The following is a 16,709-nucleotide window of genomic DNA, read 5'->3' on the forward strand; positions in this document are numbered from 1 at the left end:
GGCAAGGAATGCCAGCTACTTCTAGGAGCTGAGAGTGGCCCCCAGCTGATGGCCAGCAAAAAAACAGGGACCTCTACAGCTGCAAACTGAATTCTGCCAACAACATCAAAAAATTAATTTGAAAATAAATTGTTCCCCAGATACTCCAGATAAAAACTTACCCCAGCTGACACCTTGATTTCCGTCATGCCATGCCAGACTTTCAACCTACAGAACTTTCAAGAACTTGGATCTAATGGGTGGGTGTTGTTTTAAGCTGCTAAATTTGTGGTAATATGTTATGCAACAGTAGAAAACTGTTGCTATAAAAGTATAAACAGTAGGTATGTTTTCTTGAAAGCTTTTATCTTTTTTAATTGACAAATGATAATTGTATATCTTTATAGAGTACAATGTGATGTTTCAGTATATACATACATTATGGAATGATCAAATCAGGCCAATTAACATTTTCATCACCTCATATACTTATTTCTTTGTGGTAGAACATTTAAAATCTACACTTTTAGCAATTTTGAAATATACAACACATTCTTATTAATGACGGTCACCATGCTGTGCAATAGATAACCAGAATTTATCCCTCCTATGTAACTGAAACTTTGTACCTTTGACCAACATTTCCCCTTTCCCTGTCCCTCCCCACCTGCCTCTGGTAACAACTATTCTACTTTTCATTTCTATGAGTTTGACTTTTTAGGTTTCACGTATAAGTAGAGGTCATGTCACAGTTGTCTTTCTGTGCCTGGCTTATTCCACTTTGCATAATCTCCTCTAGATTCACCCATGTTGTCCCAAATGACAGAATCCTTTCCTGAGGCTGACAAGATTCCATTGTCATAATATCACATCCATTCATCTGTTGATGGGTGATATCTTGGCCATATCATGATGTTTCCATGTCTTGGCTATTGGGAGTAATGCCGTAACTAACATGGGCATTCAGACATCTCTTCAACATACAGATTTCAATTTCTTTGGGTATATACCCAGAAGTGGGATTACTGGATCATATAGTAATTTTAGTTTTAGTTTTTGAGGAACCTACGTACTATTTTCCAAAATGGATGTACTAATTTACATTCCCACCAACAGTGTACAAGGATTCTTTTTTCTCTGCATTCTCACCAATGCTTATCTTTCATCTTTTTGATAATAGCCATTCTAACAGGTGTGAAGTGATATCTCATTGTGATTTTATTTTGCATTTCCCTGATGATTATTCATGGTGAATCACTTTTATACATCTGTTGGCCATTTGTATGTCCTCTTTTTAGAATTCTGGTATGCTGGTATGGGGTACTCTTAGAAACATGGTATGGTAGTATAAAGTGAATGACATCCCATAGGGATATTTATGAAATCACCTTGAGACACACTAATTTCTCTGTCAGTTTTGAATCTAGCATTTTGACTTAATTAGCAAGCTGCTGTTCCTATTTTCTTAGATCAAGTGTGTCTACCTATTGCTCTCAGGCAACCTGTTACAAGCAAATGGTAGTGTCCATTTTGAACTATCAGACATGCTGCTATTACTCTTAACCAGTGTAAATCAAGCTTGCTGGATAGCAACTTTACCACCTCTAACCACTAAATCAGTTTTCCTGAATAGAACAGAAAAGAGAAGGTGCATTTTTTTCCCAATAGTTCCATTAATTCATGTTCGACAGCCACTGGCCCCTTAATATTTTTATTATTGTAATAACAGCAGTGCTCCCCCCACCCACCCCTGCCTTAAGACAGGGTCTGGCTCTGTCACCCAGGCTGGAGTGCTGTGGTGCCATCTAGGCTCACTACAACTCTCTGTCTTCCAGGCTCAAGCGATCCTCCCACCTCAGCCACCTGAGTGTCTGGGACTATAAGTGCATGCCACTATGCCTGGCTAATTTTTTGCATATTTTTTTCCTGGACTCAAGTGATCTACCTGCCTCAACTTCCCAAAGTGCTGAGGTTACAAATGTGAGCCACTGCACCTGGGCAACAGCAGTTCTTTAAAAACATCATGTTATCTTTGTGTACTGAAATAAATTAGAGCTCCTCCCCTCTTCATCTCTGTAACCCATAAGGAAAAGAAGAATATCAACTCTTGGGGAAAATAATGCAAATATTTAAGCATATTCTTTTACAGCCTCACTTTCAATTATCTTATTGTTATTATTATTATTTGAGACGGAGTCTCGCTGTGTCCCCCAGGATGGAGTATAGTGGTGTGACCTCAGCTCACTGCAACCTCTGCCTCGGGGTTCAAGCAGTTCTTCTGCCTCAGCCTCCTGAGTAGCTGGGATTACAGGTGTGTGCCACCACGCCTGGCTAATTTTTGTATTTTTAGTAGAGACGGGGTTTCACCATGTTGGTCAGGCTGGTCTCAAACTCCTGACCTCATGATCTGCCCTCCTCAGCCTCCCAAAATGCTGGGATTACAGGCATGAGCCACTGTGCCCGGCCCAATTATCTTATTAAACACCCTTTCAACATCTTTTTCTAAAGAACTCTCCTCCCAAATTTTACATCCTATTGAATAGTAGGTATTTGTATAAATATAGATACTTGGTAAACATTGATTCCTTAATTCAGCAACTAAGAACCTATCATGTGCCACAAGAATACTGGCAGTGAAGCAATGAATGAACAGTACCTCCTCTCATGGAATTTGCATCCTAGTAAGGAAAGAGAGAGGAAAGAAACCAGGTTGAGGGGGATAATGAGTGTCAGAGGCTGGAGAAGAAGGGAGCTGGCTCTTTTATGAGTGACTAGGGAAGGGATCACTGATTGAACGACACTGAGCAGACCCTGAAAGGAAATGACAGAGTGAACCATGCATTCAAAGGGAACAGCTCTCTAGGCAGAAGGGCTAGCAAGTGCAAAGGCCCTGAAGCAGGAACATACTTGTTATGTTCAAGGAACAGTATGAGACCAATGCAGCTGCAGCACATTGAACATAAATAATTAAGAAATGAAGTCAGAGAAGTTGGAGATGGGGGAGCCAGGTCATGTAGAAGGAACATAATCTGACTTTTTGTTTTTTTAATGATGCTGCCTACTAGTTTGAGAGTAGACTGTGGCAGGGATACCAGTTAGAGTGCTATCAGAATAATCTAGGTAAGGGATGGACCAATTTAATAAAGCTAAAAGTTGTGGGAAGTGGTCAAATTCTGTAACTAATTTGAAGACAAAGCCACCAAGATATGCTGGTTGATTACATATGGGATGTAAAAGAATGAAAAGGGTCAAGGATGTGTCCTAGGCCTGAGCAACTGGAAGGATAGAAATTGATGGGGAGAGCTGAGAGGCGAGGTTTGGGTGAAGAGTCAGGAGATCAGTAATGGGCACCTTCAGTTTAAAAGTGATACAATGATAGAGGAAGAGAGGGCATGCACCTGAATTTGCCAGTTTGGAAATCAGGAGAGAGGTCCAGACTGGGGATAGAGAATTCTGGGTCACGTATGAATAGTATTTAAATAGAAACTGGATGAGATCACCTAACAAATGAGTGTACGCAGGAAAAGAACAGAAAGGAAGGACACAGAGGAGTTGAAGAACCAAGCCTTGGAGCAGTCCAACTTTTAGAGACTGGGGAGATGAGAAGATACTAGCAAATGAGCAGAGAAGAAACAGCCAGTGACAGAGGAGAACCTAGAGAAAGCTGTGTCTTTGCAGTCGAATAAACTGTTCCAAGGAGGTAGTGATCAACAGCATCACATACAGTCATAAGTGAAGGAAGCTGAGGACTGAAAATTGACCTTTGGACATAAAGTGACAAGAGCTGTTTTAGCGGCATAGGGCAAATGGTAGCCTCACTAGAGTTGATTTAAAAGAGAATAAATGAAAAGATGGGAATTGAATGTAGACAAATCCATTTTTGTAAGGTTTTTGTAAGGTTTAGTTATAAAGTAGAGCAGAGAAATGGAGTAGTAGCTGCAAGGAAATGTGAGGGCAAGACAAAGTTTTGTCTTTAATTTTTTTTAAGATAGAAGATAATTACAGCTCATTTTTATGCCCATGGTAATGACCCAGTACAGGGAGGGAACATAGATGTTAGGGAAGAAAGCGGACAATTGTTGGATTGAAGTTTTGAGTAAGTAAGATGGGAGGATTGCATGAGGTATGACCACAGAGAAAAGCGGAGTGTGTGAATAGTTGGTGGATGTTATGGTGGGAATCTAGAAGTTCTCTTTCTGCTGCTTCTGTGTTCTTAGTGAGGTAAGAAGCAAGGTCATCAGCTACAAGAGGATAGGGTGAATGTACTGAAAGGCTTTTTTTTTAATGAAGTACACAGTTATTTTATATGAAATGTATTATGAGATAACCATGAAAACTATCTCTTACCATAACAAATTTAAAGTGTTTAGCTTAGCACTTGATGTACAGTAGATGTAAAAAAAATGCTTTACTGTAAAACAAAATTGGGATCAAATTTTCATTTGATTTGTGACATGAAGATCCATTATTTCATCCAAAACAATTATATATAACTTCAGAATTTCTGGAGAAATTGATGTATGGGGTGGGGAGCCCTTTAAAAGTAAGAAGTTGGGCTGAGGAGAGTCAGATGTGTTATTCATCATTACTCTCTACATTGATTAAATTTATTAGATGACTAATCATAACCAAAGATTGTTGGCAGGAGAGAGTATGAGAAGATCATTTCATCCTATTATTCAGCTCTGTCTTTAGGCTGATCTCACACTCTCCTGAGGAAAGCTTCAGCAAGTTTTATGCTGAGTTTCATTAGTGCACAGAATAAAGTCCGTTGTATATTACTGCTTTTAAGCAAAACAAATCAAAGTGCCTTAGCCCAGATCATTCCCCCAGCATTATATAATATAAATGCCCAGAAACAACTGCTGGGGAAATCCCACATTCTCATCTTCAGTCTAGGTCATGGGATCAGAGTTAGAATGTAAGAGAAAACATTTAAACTGGCCCCTTAAATGTCTGTACATCAGAGTTCAAGGAAGTGACTCCACAATGTAGCTGAGAGTGAGAGAACTCCAACTGTAAAAAAATACTGAATTTTGCATCTATTGGGAAGATAAATGCAGAAAATGAATGTTGGCATTTCCCCTTCTCTTTTATTGGTAACTGGTGTAGTATATGTTGGCAAAAAGAAATAGTGACTGACAGATAAAGTAGACTGTGAACCACCAAATAACCTCTAGAAATTTTTAACAATGATGTTCCTTTAATATATTATAGCTTTTCAATTGCCGGATAAGTGACTTCTAACTAGAAATAGCTCATATCTAATTACGTTAACATTTTAACTTTTAAATTTGGGATGCACAAAATATGTAAAATTATATATGTATATATGTCATTTGCTTTTTTTTCCTCAAACAACAATGATGTATATAACCAGGTGGTAAAACAATCAAGTCACAGATCCAAAATCATGTTTGTTAATACACAGCATTTTTGCAAGACCAATATTAAGGAGTGTTTAAATCACAATTCAGAAAATATATACATTTTTTCAATTATTTTCTTAGAAATTATTTTAATAGTTGAAATGCTGCATTATTTGGTTATTTATAGGTGGCAACCATCTCTCACTATACTAGATTCCTTTTTCATAGGAAAATTAGCTAGTAGTTCTTTTTAAATTGGCACTGCAGTTCAGACCTACAAATTAACTTGTACAATTGTAAACATGTAATGTCTCTAAAATACACTGCTGTGTGGTGAAGCCTAGAAATTATTTCAGTTCCTTTTAAAAGAACATTGCTCTTTTAAATAATAATGCACAAATAATGGATAATAATGCACAAATTGAGACGTTGGGAATCTAGTTTACTTTTTGTGTTCTTCAAAGAGTTAGGCAAAAGTATTATTTGATTGTTTTAATTTTGACTATTGGCAGTGCAAACAGGAGTTAGGGAAAAGAAGCAACACCACAGTGCTTAAAAGCATAGGCTCTGGCATCCAAATGCTTACATTCAAATCATGACTGCACTATCAGCAGTGTGACAATGGACAAGTTATTTAAACTTCTTTATCCCTCAGTTTCGTCTCTGCAAAATGAGGTTAATAACAATATCTATCTCAAATTGTTGTGATGTACAATGAATTAATAATATTTATAAACTACCTAGAAGAATGTCAGAAATAGTAGAAAGCACTATGTAAACATCTGATAAACATAGTTGATTGTTAGGGCAACAATTCTTTATGCCTTTGGAAGCTGCTATCAGTTTCATGTAATCATCTATTGGATAAAACAGCATTGCTGTCCTTTGATTTTTGGAACTTTCTGTATAACGGGACCAGGGAGCTAAGAGATGGATAGCCACAGTAGTATGTTTGAGCTGGCTTCTACTGGCTTGCAAGAACTTTGTGAGCCAATTGTCAAACATAATCATTATTAATAATTAAAATATTTAAACTGAAAATTATATTAAAAGAAATGGTAATAAATATTTTAAAACCTAACCACTTCCTAATTATTTTCCTGCATTTTACAATTGTCTTTGTTCTTGAGGTTATTTACATCTGTTGTATCTAAGAATTGTATGTCATGGTGTATTACTATGCATTTCTTCCCATCTCCGTATTCAGTGACATCACATTGGTAGCTCGAAATAGGCATAGTATAGTATTTACACTATGAAACTGAGCAAATGTTGCAAATCAAGGCTTGCCCCCACCCCCAATAGCTGGTTGTTAAAATATTTACCATCACACTACTGGATCAGGGTCAGAGTGTCCCATTAGTTTCTGTTATTCTTTTGCTGAATGTTATCATGAGTAAAACAGAGACTGTATTGAGGAAAGGATTGTAAAAAAAAAATGTGCTTACGCCTTAACGGAGGTTTCCCCTATAAACACTTTCCTATGTTAGGCATCCAAAATACTCTAAAATCACCAGAACCATAAGCAATGAAGAAAGGGCTGTTAATTTCATTACTATTAATAACAATGGTCTCCTTTCGTATATCATTGTGTAGTTACATGTTATCTAATAAGGGTATCATGCTAACCCCCTAAGCTAGAATGGTAGCTGTTATCATCACTACTATATAAATGACAAATCTATTTATATAGAAAGTTCAGATTCCACAAGATTATTACTTTCCCACGGTTATTCAACTTGCAATTGAAGAACATTACATATGGATTCAGATTTTCTGACTGCAAATCAAGTGAAAATTCCATTTATGTGATGAATGTTATATTCTTTAACAAAGCCTTATTAATTGTGAGTTAGAGATATCTCCCCCCACACCTCCATGTTCCCTCCCTCCCTCCCTCCCTCCCTCTGTCCTTCTGCTCTGCTCAGCATGTTGGATGCTAAAAGTTAAACCTATTTGAGTTTGTAACAATTTTGTAACACTAACAAATGTTTTTCAAATACATCTGACTCTGTTATTATAGTATATTTAATCAGCCCCCATTGATGGTTATTTAGATTATTTCCAATTTTTTGTTTTTACAATGAACAGTCTTGTCAATAAAACATATCTATAGGATAAGTTTCTACAAGAAAAATTGCTGGATTAAGCTATATGGAGATCGTTCAACATAGTGATGAAGATCTGGGCTCTTTCCCCTGCTAGCTGTGTGACCTTGGGAAAGTTATTGAAATTTCCTGTGCCTCAGTTCTCTATTGCTAAAATAGGGATAATAGCAGTACTTCTCATAGATTCTTTGTGAGTATTAAGTGTATTGGTACATGTATGGTGCTTACAACAGTGTCTAGAATCTAACCACTCAATAAATGTTAACTCATTATTATTAGCATTGAAAATTTTAGATAGGTATTTACAAGTTTCTCCTCATAAGTGTGTTATACTTAATACTTCCATCAATATGAGAATGACTGTCTCTTCACACCATCAATGCTGTGTCTAATTAAACTACTTTTTAATGTTTGCTAATCTGATAGATGAACATGGTATCTCATAATAACTTTTTATTTCTCTAATTAAGCATGAAGTTAAACATTTTCACATGTGTTCATTTGTGTTTCATGCCCTACATGTTTCACGTTTTGCCTATTTTGTTATTTGTTATTAATCTTATTATCGATTTGTAGGAATTCTTTCTGCATTAGGGAGTTCAACCTTTTTCTGTGCTATGACTTACCTTCATCGTGTTCCATATTTTTTTTGTAGAACTTATTCCTATTTTTAATAATGTCTTTATGTCGATTTCAAGCTTCATATGATCAAGGGTCATGTCTATTTGTTTATCACTGTATATTGAACATCTAGCAAAATGCTGAACACATAATAAAGGATCAATAAATATTTAATGAATGATACATGGGCCAGATATGACAAAGAAAATATTTGATACATAAATAGACTGGGAAATTAGAAAGGAACTATTTTGTCTGGAAATGTAATGACTTTGGTTTTGGATATGTTGAGTTTTAGGTAACAGCCACTATTCTAAGTTGAATGTGTTTAAGACTCTTACTTTGGCAAGATACTCATGAAGATTTTGGAGTCATCACTGTGAAGTTATTGATTCAAAACAGATGATCACTGATGGAAAGAATGTTATGGGAGGGTTCATAGACAATACTTCTAATCAAAAGCAATTTCAGGTAGTTATAGTTGTCATAACGTTTTTAAAACAAATATGAAAAGAAAAAATAGAAGCATTGTATATTTCCAAGTATAAAGATATGGTAAATGTAGGAAAATTTTAAAACAATAATGATTATTGAAAAGTATTTAGATAATGTTAGTCATATCCAAATCACTTATTATGAAGAAATGAAACCTTTACTAAGGGAAAACTGAGTTCATCAATAAGCTGGTGGAAATCAGAAGTCCTATTTTTGTATAAGGTAGGCTATTTGTGTTTTTAGTTTGTAATTGGACAGTGATTGTTTTCTATTAGTGAACTATCACTGAGAGATTAATTACTATCATTTTAGTCTCTAGGTCTGTCTTTTATATAATAGATTATATGAAATCTGCATGAACTGTAAGAAACTATTCAGTCTCCTAAAAAGAAACACTTATTTTCTCAGAACAGAGAACATCTTCTAAAATAAGTTATACATGTTATTTAATATGCAGGGATATCTTTATGGCTGCAGTCACTGAATAACCATTGTGACTTAAATGCCTGTGAATTAGTACCTTTATAAGTCTGTTATAAAGTTATAATTCTTTTTTAATAATTGTAAGGAAATAATCAAGGCAGAAATTCTATTCTGATGGCACAGGGGATGTGGTAATCCAATGTTAGTGTCAATTTTCACATGATCCTGTAGATTAAAAGATACTGTCTTGAAAGTGTCCACTTTATTTTTATTAGAACGTATCTGTGACTTAAGAAATTAGAAGGACAGACACAGTTGTACTGATCAGACAAATTATTTAGCGGGCAAAAATTGTAGTCACATTAGAATAACTTCCTACTTAACTTTTAGCTGCCTTTGTCTTATTGATTGGAAATCCTGTTATTTCTGAGCATTTTTGTCATGAAAGCAAGGTTCTTAGGTACAGTCATCATTTTCTTCCCTCCAGGTGAGGGGCTTGTCAGTGATGAATGAAGTAATCTATAAAAGAAGATGCAGAAAGTGTGAAGACAGAAAATAAATCTACTTGAACTGGTGCAGCAGAGCAGTTTATCATGGCGCATCTGGCTGAGCATGTGCTTGCAGTGAACACTAGAGGAGACATATAGTGACAGTCACTAAGGGGCTTTTAGGGAAGCCAGTCATTTGCTTAAGCCAGGCTCTAGGAAGTGCTTATTTTCTACTTATAAGAGGAACATTTGTTCATTAAGAGAGAATAGAAACTTCAAGGTGGCCTGTGTTAATATACAAAGGAAATAGTTACAGAATTTTTGCTCAAGGTGTGTATGACTTGTGGTAAAAGACTGGAAATAAACACAATGCAAATTGTATTTCTTGGTTTTCATAATTACAAAAACATCATCCTTAGAGTTGCTTCTCAAAGACTTCACAAGAAGCAAATGGCGATAGAGTAAGGTTTTATTTCATTCAAATAGTTACTGTTAGGCCAAGCACGGTGGCTCACAACAATAATTCTATCACTTTGGGAGGCCAAAGTGGGAGGGTCACTTGAGCCCAGGAGTTTGAGTCTAGCTTGGGCAACATAGTGAGATCTGGTCTCTACAAAAAAATTTAAAAAAGATTAGTCAGGAATGGTGGCACGTACCTATAGTTCCAGCTACTTGGGAGGCTGAGGAGGGAGAATCACTTGAGCGCAGGAGTTCAGAGTTGCAATAAGCTATAATTGTGCTACTGCACTCTTGCCTGGGCAACAGAGAGAAACCCTGCCTCTAAAAGCAAGCAAACAAAAATAGTTACCATTCCTGCACTTTTGCTCTGCCCCTTGCTGAGACTTGGGGAAAGGAAGTCAATGATTTGTTGTTAAAGGTCGGTTACTTTCCAGAGAGGTAGGCTACCTGAGTCGTGATAAGCCAGTGTCAAAGAACTCATCCAAAAATTGGATTAAAATCCTTAGCAGTACTTGGATGGAACAGAGGGGTGGAAACCACTGTGTTCTAGAAACGTAACACCCAAAATCAGAATGTAGGAGAATGTGGCTGCCTCAACTTGGGGCTGTTCTCTTGGTATGATGAGGGCCAAAATGTACTCATTTACAGAAATATGGCCAAATATTGCTTGCTTACGTCAATCCACATCTCTTTATAGCTAACTATTCTCAATCCCATTACAGAAATGGAAGCTAAGTTTAGCAAATTGTTTGGCCGTTTATGTTTAGTGCACAAAATTCTTAATTAACAAAGTAAAATGCCACAATCCATTGTAAATCACTTTGCTAAACTTTCAAACTTAATAAGGAATTTTGTCTTGTCCAAAAGCTACTTTCAAACCCCTGCTGATCTGGCACTCATGTCTGATTCCCTGTGGAGCTGAGTGAAAGAATGTAAAGGGAGCCAATTAAAGAAACTTTGAGCCAGAATAGACAAGCAGAGGCCATCTTGTCCATCCTTCTGCCTTCAGGCAAAAACCATCCACTGCAACACAAATTTTTGCTTGAATCCTGCTGACAAAAATGCTCACCACATGTAAATGACAAGTCATAATCCAGTTATTGCAACTAAAGCAGATTGTTAACTGCTCAAGACTTATTTATTGTGTTCTAAAGATGCTGAGTATGAAAGCTCATCTGAATTGTCTTAATTCCCCCTTTCTAGAAAATTATTTTGTATAAGAAATGTGCTCAAATAATTGTAAAGATGAGGGAGGTTTGTGTCCAGGAAATAAAGTTATCTTTATCATCTTATTAAATATATTTTTGGTTTCCTTTCACTGTAGGTTTACCTTATGGGTGGGAGGAAGCTTACACAGCAGATGGAATCAAGTACTTCATCAAGTAAGTACAAGCATCTCAACCAAGTAAGCAATTTTCTTCACATCTGGAGAGAACCTGGAAGTTGCAGAATAATCAGCAAAACTAAGAAACCTTCTTGGAGGTTACAAAAATTAGTAACAAGAAATGAAGCCTCACCATTTTCGTTTCATGTGATTTAAATGCTAATATCAGATATCATTTGGGGGAAAAAACCTGGTAATAATTTCTAGGGAAACATCAAAAAATTGGAACAGGATCATCATTTGAACTTAGGCTGGCTGCCTAAATTCACTTGCTGGCTAATAGTATTAGTGTTTATGAAAAGTTAATACCTAGCAAAAAAATCCGTTTTGTATATCTTTGAAAGTTCTTAACAATAATGCTAATATCAACATTTTTTAATGCTTTAAAATGCACACAGTTCATTCTGCAACTATTTTTTGAGCATTTGCTGTTTGCCAGGCAGTGTTCCACGCCCTGCAGATATAGTGGTGAAATATATAGACTGGTTTCTTGATAGCATAGAATTTACATAATAGAGAGGAAAAACAGACAGTAGATAAATAACTTGAGATAAATAGGACAGTATATGAACAAACCTTACCTCAGTGGATTCTCAGAACAACCTCTTGAGGTATGTATACCTTGTCATTTTTTCTGTTTTATAGATGAAGAAAATAAGAGTCTTGAGTAGTTACCAAAAAATCTATCACTACTTAATTACCAAGTCAGAACTAGAGTCAAAGTCTTCTGACCGCAAGATTCTACTATCTGCACTAGACTGTCACTGATAAAGACCCATCCTTAAAGCCTGAACAGGAATACATTTCCTAGATGCTGAACTGGTTAGTTTTGCCCTGGACAGAGCACTGTGATATACTTCTACCGTTTCCTGAAAATTCCTTTTATGTCAGAATTGACATTTCGAGAGCACAAAGGGGAATCCCAACAGACTCCTAAGAGCCCAGGGGACTCCTTTGTGTATCCTTTTAGCAAAGTATACTTGGTATGCATTTTGGGAGGAAAAGGGAGACATGTCCTTGCTATCCCCTTTCAAATGTGCAAATATTTTACAAAGCAATATCCAGATTTTGGATTCTCATGCCCCGCAACTTTACACAGTTCCTACATCTCTGTTAACCTCAGCTTTCACATCATATACTGAGGGGAATATTACCTACTTTATAAAGTTGTTTAATCTTAAGTACCTAGCATAGAACTTGGAACACAGTAGATGCCCAATAAATAGCCATCATGAATTTACAATATGGAGAAACCATCGTGGAGGGGAAAAAAAACCTGAACAATCATATGACCATTAAAAACATTGAGAATTCAAAAGCTTTGTATTTGAAAAAATTTAAGGAAAAACTAGAGATAAACCTGGCAAAGTGTTTTCATGCTGAATTTTTTTCTTGCAATCTCTAGCATGAAGTGATTAATCAGGCAAAGGTGTTGTTTATAACATTTGAAAGAAAATGAACTTTTGGCATAGAGGACCCAGGAATTCCATGTGCAGATTACATTTAGTGCCACACTCTTTACTTCCAGAATCAGACCTCTTCTGGAAGGGGCTCTCTAGCATGCAGGATTAATCATGTTTAGTTTCTGGAAGATTTGAATCACTGTACTGTAGGAATGGCAGGAAAATGAAAAAATGCATTCAAATCTGTGTTGCATTTCTTTCTTTCTCTCTTTTTGATATTAACTTTATAAAGGAAAAGATGAGGGCATGAGCATTTACTGAGCACTAGCTTGTGCTTAATAGCCAGGAATATGCTAGGTGTATTTCTCTATGCATTATATCATTTAATGCTCTTAACAATGTGGAAAGTAGGTGTTGCTGGGCTCTTATTGGAATGGCATTATGATGGTAGTGAGCTGCATCTTGCCCTTAGCCATGCTTTCTCCTAGAAGGTTCCCCAAAGAAATGCATGATTAAAAGAAAGAAAATTAGCATTCATTATTAACTGGGGTTCTGCATTCAGGATCCTTTGAAATGTCAGTAAATGAGTCTGGATCCTGTGGGGAACTCCTTTACCTAAACCTAGCTGTCTGTCAGTATATCCTAACCCAGAGTTGAATGTCAGAATCTAACTAGTGCCTTAAGAGAAAAAAATACTAGGGGCACAGTTACCCAAAACAGAGAAAGCAGGAACAAGTGATGGTCAGCCAGAGAGTTGGTTTGTCTCCTTACCTGTTACCCAGCTAGCTTAAGCCACTGTTCTTTGCAGCCTGGAACAATAGCCTTGGGCTGGTCTCCCACTATAAGGGAGAATAGAGTCCCAGAAGAGGAGATAAAAGGGAGTCAATAAGCCCTTTGGCTGCCCTGGGAACCAACTCAGTGTCTGTGGAAAGAACAGAGAGATGCTACATTTATCCTAACCCCATTGCTTTGCTCGGAAAATATACCCCCAAAGGGTGTGTTTTGGAAGTCCATCAATTTTTTGTTTCCTTGACCTTAGTCTTGACACATAAGGAAAACAGAAAAAGAGATGATAAAATAAATGTATTCCCCAAAGGGCCATAGTAGATCTTATTGTCTTACCATTTCATTAGGAGAAACTGTTAAAAGAGGCTGTAGTCATCAAGGTCACACAGTAATAAAATTGCAGAGCCAAGATTCAGATCCAGGGTTGTCTGGCCCCAAAGCCACCTGCACACACACACACACACACACACACACACACACACACACACACACGCCTCACCACCTCTGTATCCTCATGTTAATATAGTATGTTGACATGTGACAAGAAAGACACTTCAAACAGATCTTAATTTAGGAAGAGCTCTATACTTTATCCATTTTAAAACAGCAGAATAGAAACTTGGTTGTAAGAATAAGAAGTTGTCTTCCAGAGATTAAAAAAGTCAAAGAGTAGAAATAGGAAAATCTAACAATATGCCATTACTTCTTTTACCCAGCCTCATGAAGGAATGGGGTGTTTGGCATAAGTTAGTTTTTTTTTGTTGGAACTTAACCCTATTCAAGCACCAAGACTTATTTTAGTTAACTGTTCTTGATGAAAGTCTTACTTTAATATATGTTACACACTTCCCTGACTTCTTATACAGAGGCCAGTGAACAAAATCCTTATGAACATCCATCATTATACACAATACAGTGAGTTCTACAGGGGATATTACGCTGTATAAGACACAGTAGAGACACAGCTGTCATCTCTTGCTTCTCTCAGTGTCCCTGTTCCTCTCCTCATGACCATTCTCTTTGCCCACTCTCCACAAGCCACCTTCTTCCCCAGTTTTGTACTTGAGGACAGGATGCCAGATAATGAGGCTAATTTGAACTGCTTGTAAATAGCCTTTGAATGTGGTTCTGCAGGAGTGCTTATGTAAGTCAAGTATGATACATAAGTTCTGTTGCAGGTGGATTTGATTACAGGAAGGCCATCTGGTATCAGGGAAAGAAGAGCATGGGCTTTGGACTTGGAGAAACTTTAATTAAAATGACACTGTCTACACAAAATAGCTAAATAAAATAGCTAAACCTTAGGCACATTTACTTAACCTCTCTGGGATTAATTTCTCCATTTATAAAAAGGAAAGTATATTAGCACTTCATAGGGTTCCTGTCCAGAATGAATGAGCTTGTGTATTTAAAGAGCCTATCATAGCACCTGGCCCAAAATAGACACTTTCAGCAAAGGTTAGCCCTCTTCACTCCCTCCCCTTGCTTTCACATTTTGGTGGGAGTTTCTTTATGGTTCTTAGCTGCATTCAACTAGGTGATGTTGTCAGATAAGTAAAGTTTGCATAAGCAGACATCTACTATATGTCTTTTTTGGAACTATTTCGTTTTGGTTTGTCATTTGTTTTTGTTTTGTTTTAATCTTCATTCTCTTACTACCCCAACAAAAAATTTTGAGTCTGTGTAGCCTGTGTTAGCTTTTGAGGTAAGAGTGATTCATTTACCATATAGATGATGCTTTGAAGGCAAGAAATAATAAGTAATGGACTCAGATCATTGCTCTCTCACCTCTACTTAAGAATAGTGACTGAAATCACCCTCCCAGAACACCAGAAGAGATGATGGTCTATATACACATAATCTCTTCCTGAAATTGGCATCTGTCACTGCCTTCCCAGAAATTGAATTGTTACATCTGATGGAAGCCAAGCCTCTGGCAAGGGAATAACTGTCAGTGGTGTCCTAAGAATGTCCAGATGAACATAATCCTCATTGACTATCCCTGCCCATCCACATGTCCATCACACATATATTAATACTTTGTCATCTACTTAAATTCTGATGCAAGAGAAGAAAGCATTTTACCTAGGATGAACAAATTTGATCAGTGTTGGCATCGCTACAGCCAGTGTTTCATAGAATTAATAAACATATATCTCTGTGTGTGTGTATGTTTCTGTGTGTGTGTGTGTACCAATGTATATATGCATATATGCAGGTGAGCAGAGCTTGCTCACTTGCCTCATATATGTGTAAAAAAGAAAATACATTATTTATTAGTTTTAAAAAGTATTTGTGCATTCTAGGAAATTTTTTCTTATTTTCTCCTTAGAGAGAGAGTTGCAACATTCTTAAATTTAATAACAAACCATCCATGATCTTGAGAGTGCTATAATGAAATTAACTGATTAACTTGATCCATTTTTCTACCCAACTTCTTATCTTTTTCCCTTTGAAGTTGTATACTGTTACAGATTTATAGTAGTCTTTGGTATGATTCCACTTAAAAGTTCACATGCTTTATACATATGTTATATAATATAACAAAATTATTATGAGAGTTATCAAGTTTGTAGTAAAACTGAATTTATGACAAATTAGACATAGCTGCTAATTGCTTTTTTGTATCCTTTTATCTTTCTGTTGATTCAGATTTACTGTGATTATCATACTTATATTAACTCTATATCTGCATAATAAATTTCTCCAAAATTTTAGCTTAAACCAATATGTATTTTCTTACTCAATTTTAGAGCATCCTGAATCCAGGAGTGGCTTCACTGGATTACTCTCTCACTTTCTCTCTGGGTCTCTCATGAAGTTGTAGTCACTCTGTTAGCTAGGGCTGGGACTTCAAGAGTGGCTTAGTGAGGCCGGGCGTGGTGGCTGACGCCTGTAATCCCAGCACTTTGGGAGGCCAAGGCAGGCGGATCACGAGGTCAGGAGATTGAGACCATCCTGGCTAACACGGTGAAACCCTGTCTCTACTAAAAAAAATACAAAAAAACATTAGCCAGGCATGGTGGCTGGTGCCTGTAGTCCCAGCTACTCTGGAGGCTGAGGCAGGAGAATGTTGTGTACCCGGGAGGCGGAGTTTGCAGTGAGCCAAGATCACACCATTGCACTCCAGCCTGGGCCACAGAGCGAGACTCCGTCTCAAAAAAAAAGAAAAAAAAAAAAGAGTGGCTTAGTGA

At 36.8% G+C, this 16,709-nt stretch overlaps 1 protein-coding gene across 8 annotated transcripts in view; it reads left to right on the forward strand.

Annotated features, from left to right (window-relative positions):
• The window catches only part of STXBP4 (syntaxin binding protein 4), a 244,509-nt gene that overhangs the window by 161,279 nt on the left and 66,521 nt on the right, over positions 1-16,709 (forward strand). For 7 of the 8 annotated variants that reach the window (XR_007065289.1, XM_047435714.1, XM_017024410.2 and 4 more), the window contains one exon: positions 11,267-11,324. Coding sequence is in view for 7 of the 8 variants with exons in the window: in XM_047435714.1 (XP_047291670.1) it covers positions 11,267-11,324 (58 nt within the window). In the remaining variant the exon portion in view is untranslated. The other variant, XM_047435716.1, reaches the window with a different exon arrangement.

Source organism: Homo sapiens, chromosome 17 (genome assembly GCF_000001405.40).
Source record: "Homo sapiens chromosome 17, GRCh38.p14 Primary Assembly".
Lineage (NCBI taxonomy): Eukaryota > Metazoa > Chordata > Mammalia > Primates > Hominidae > Homo > Homo sapiens.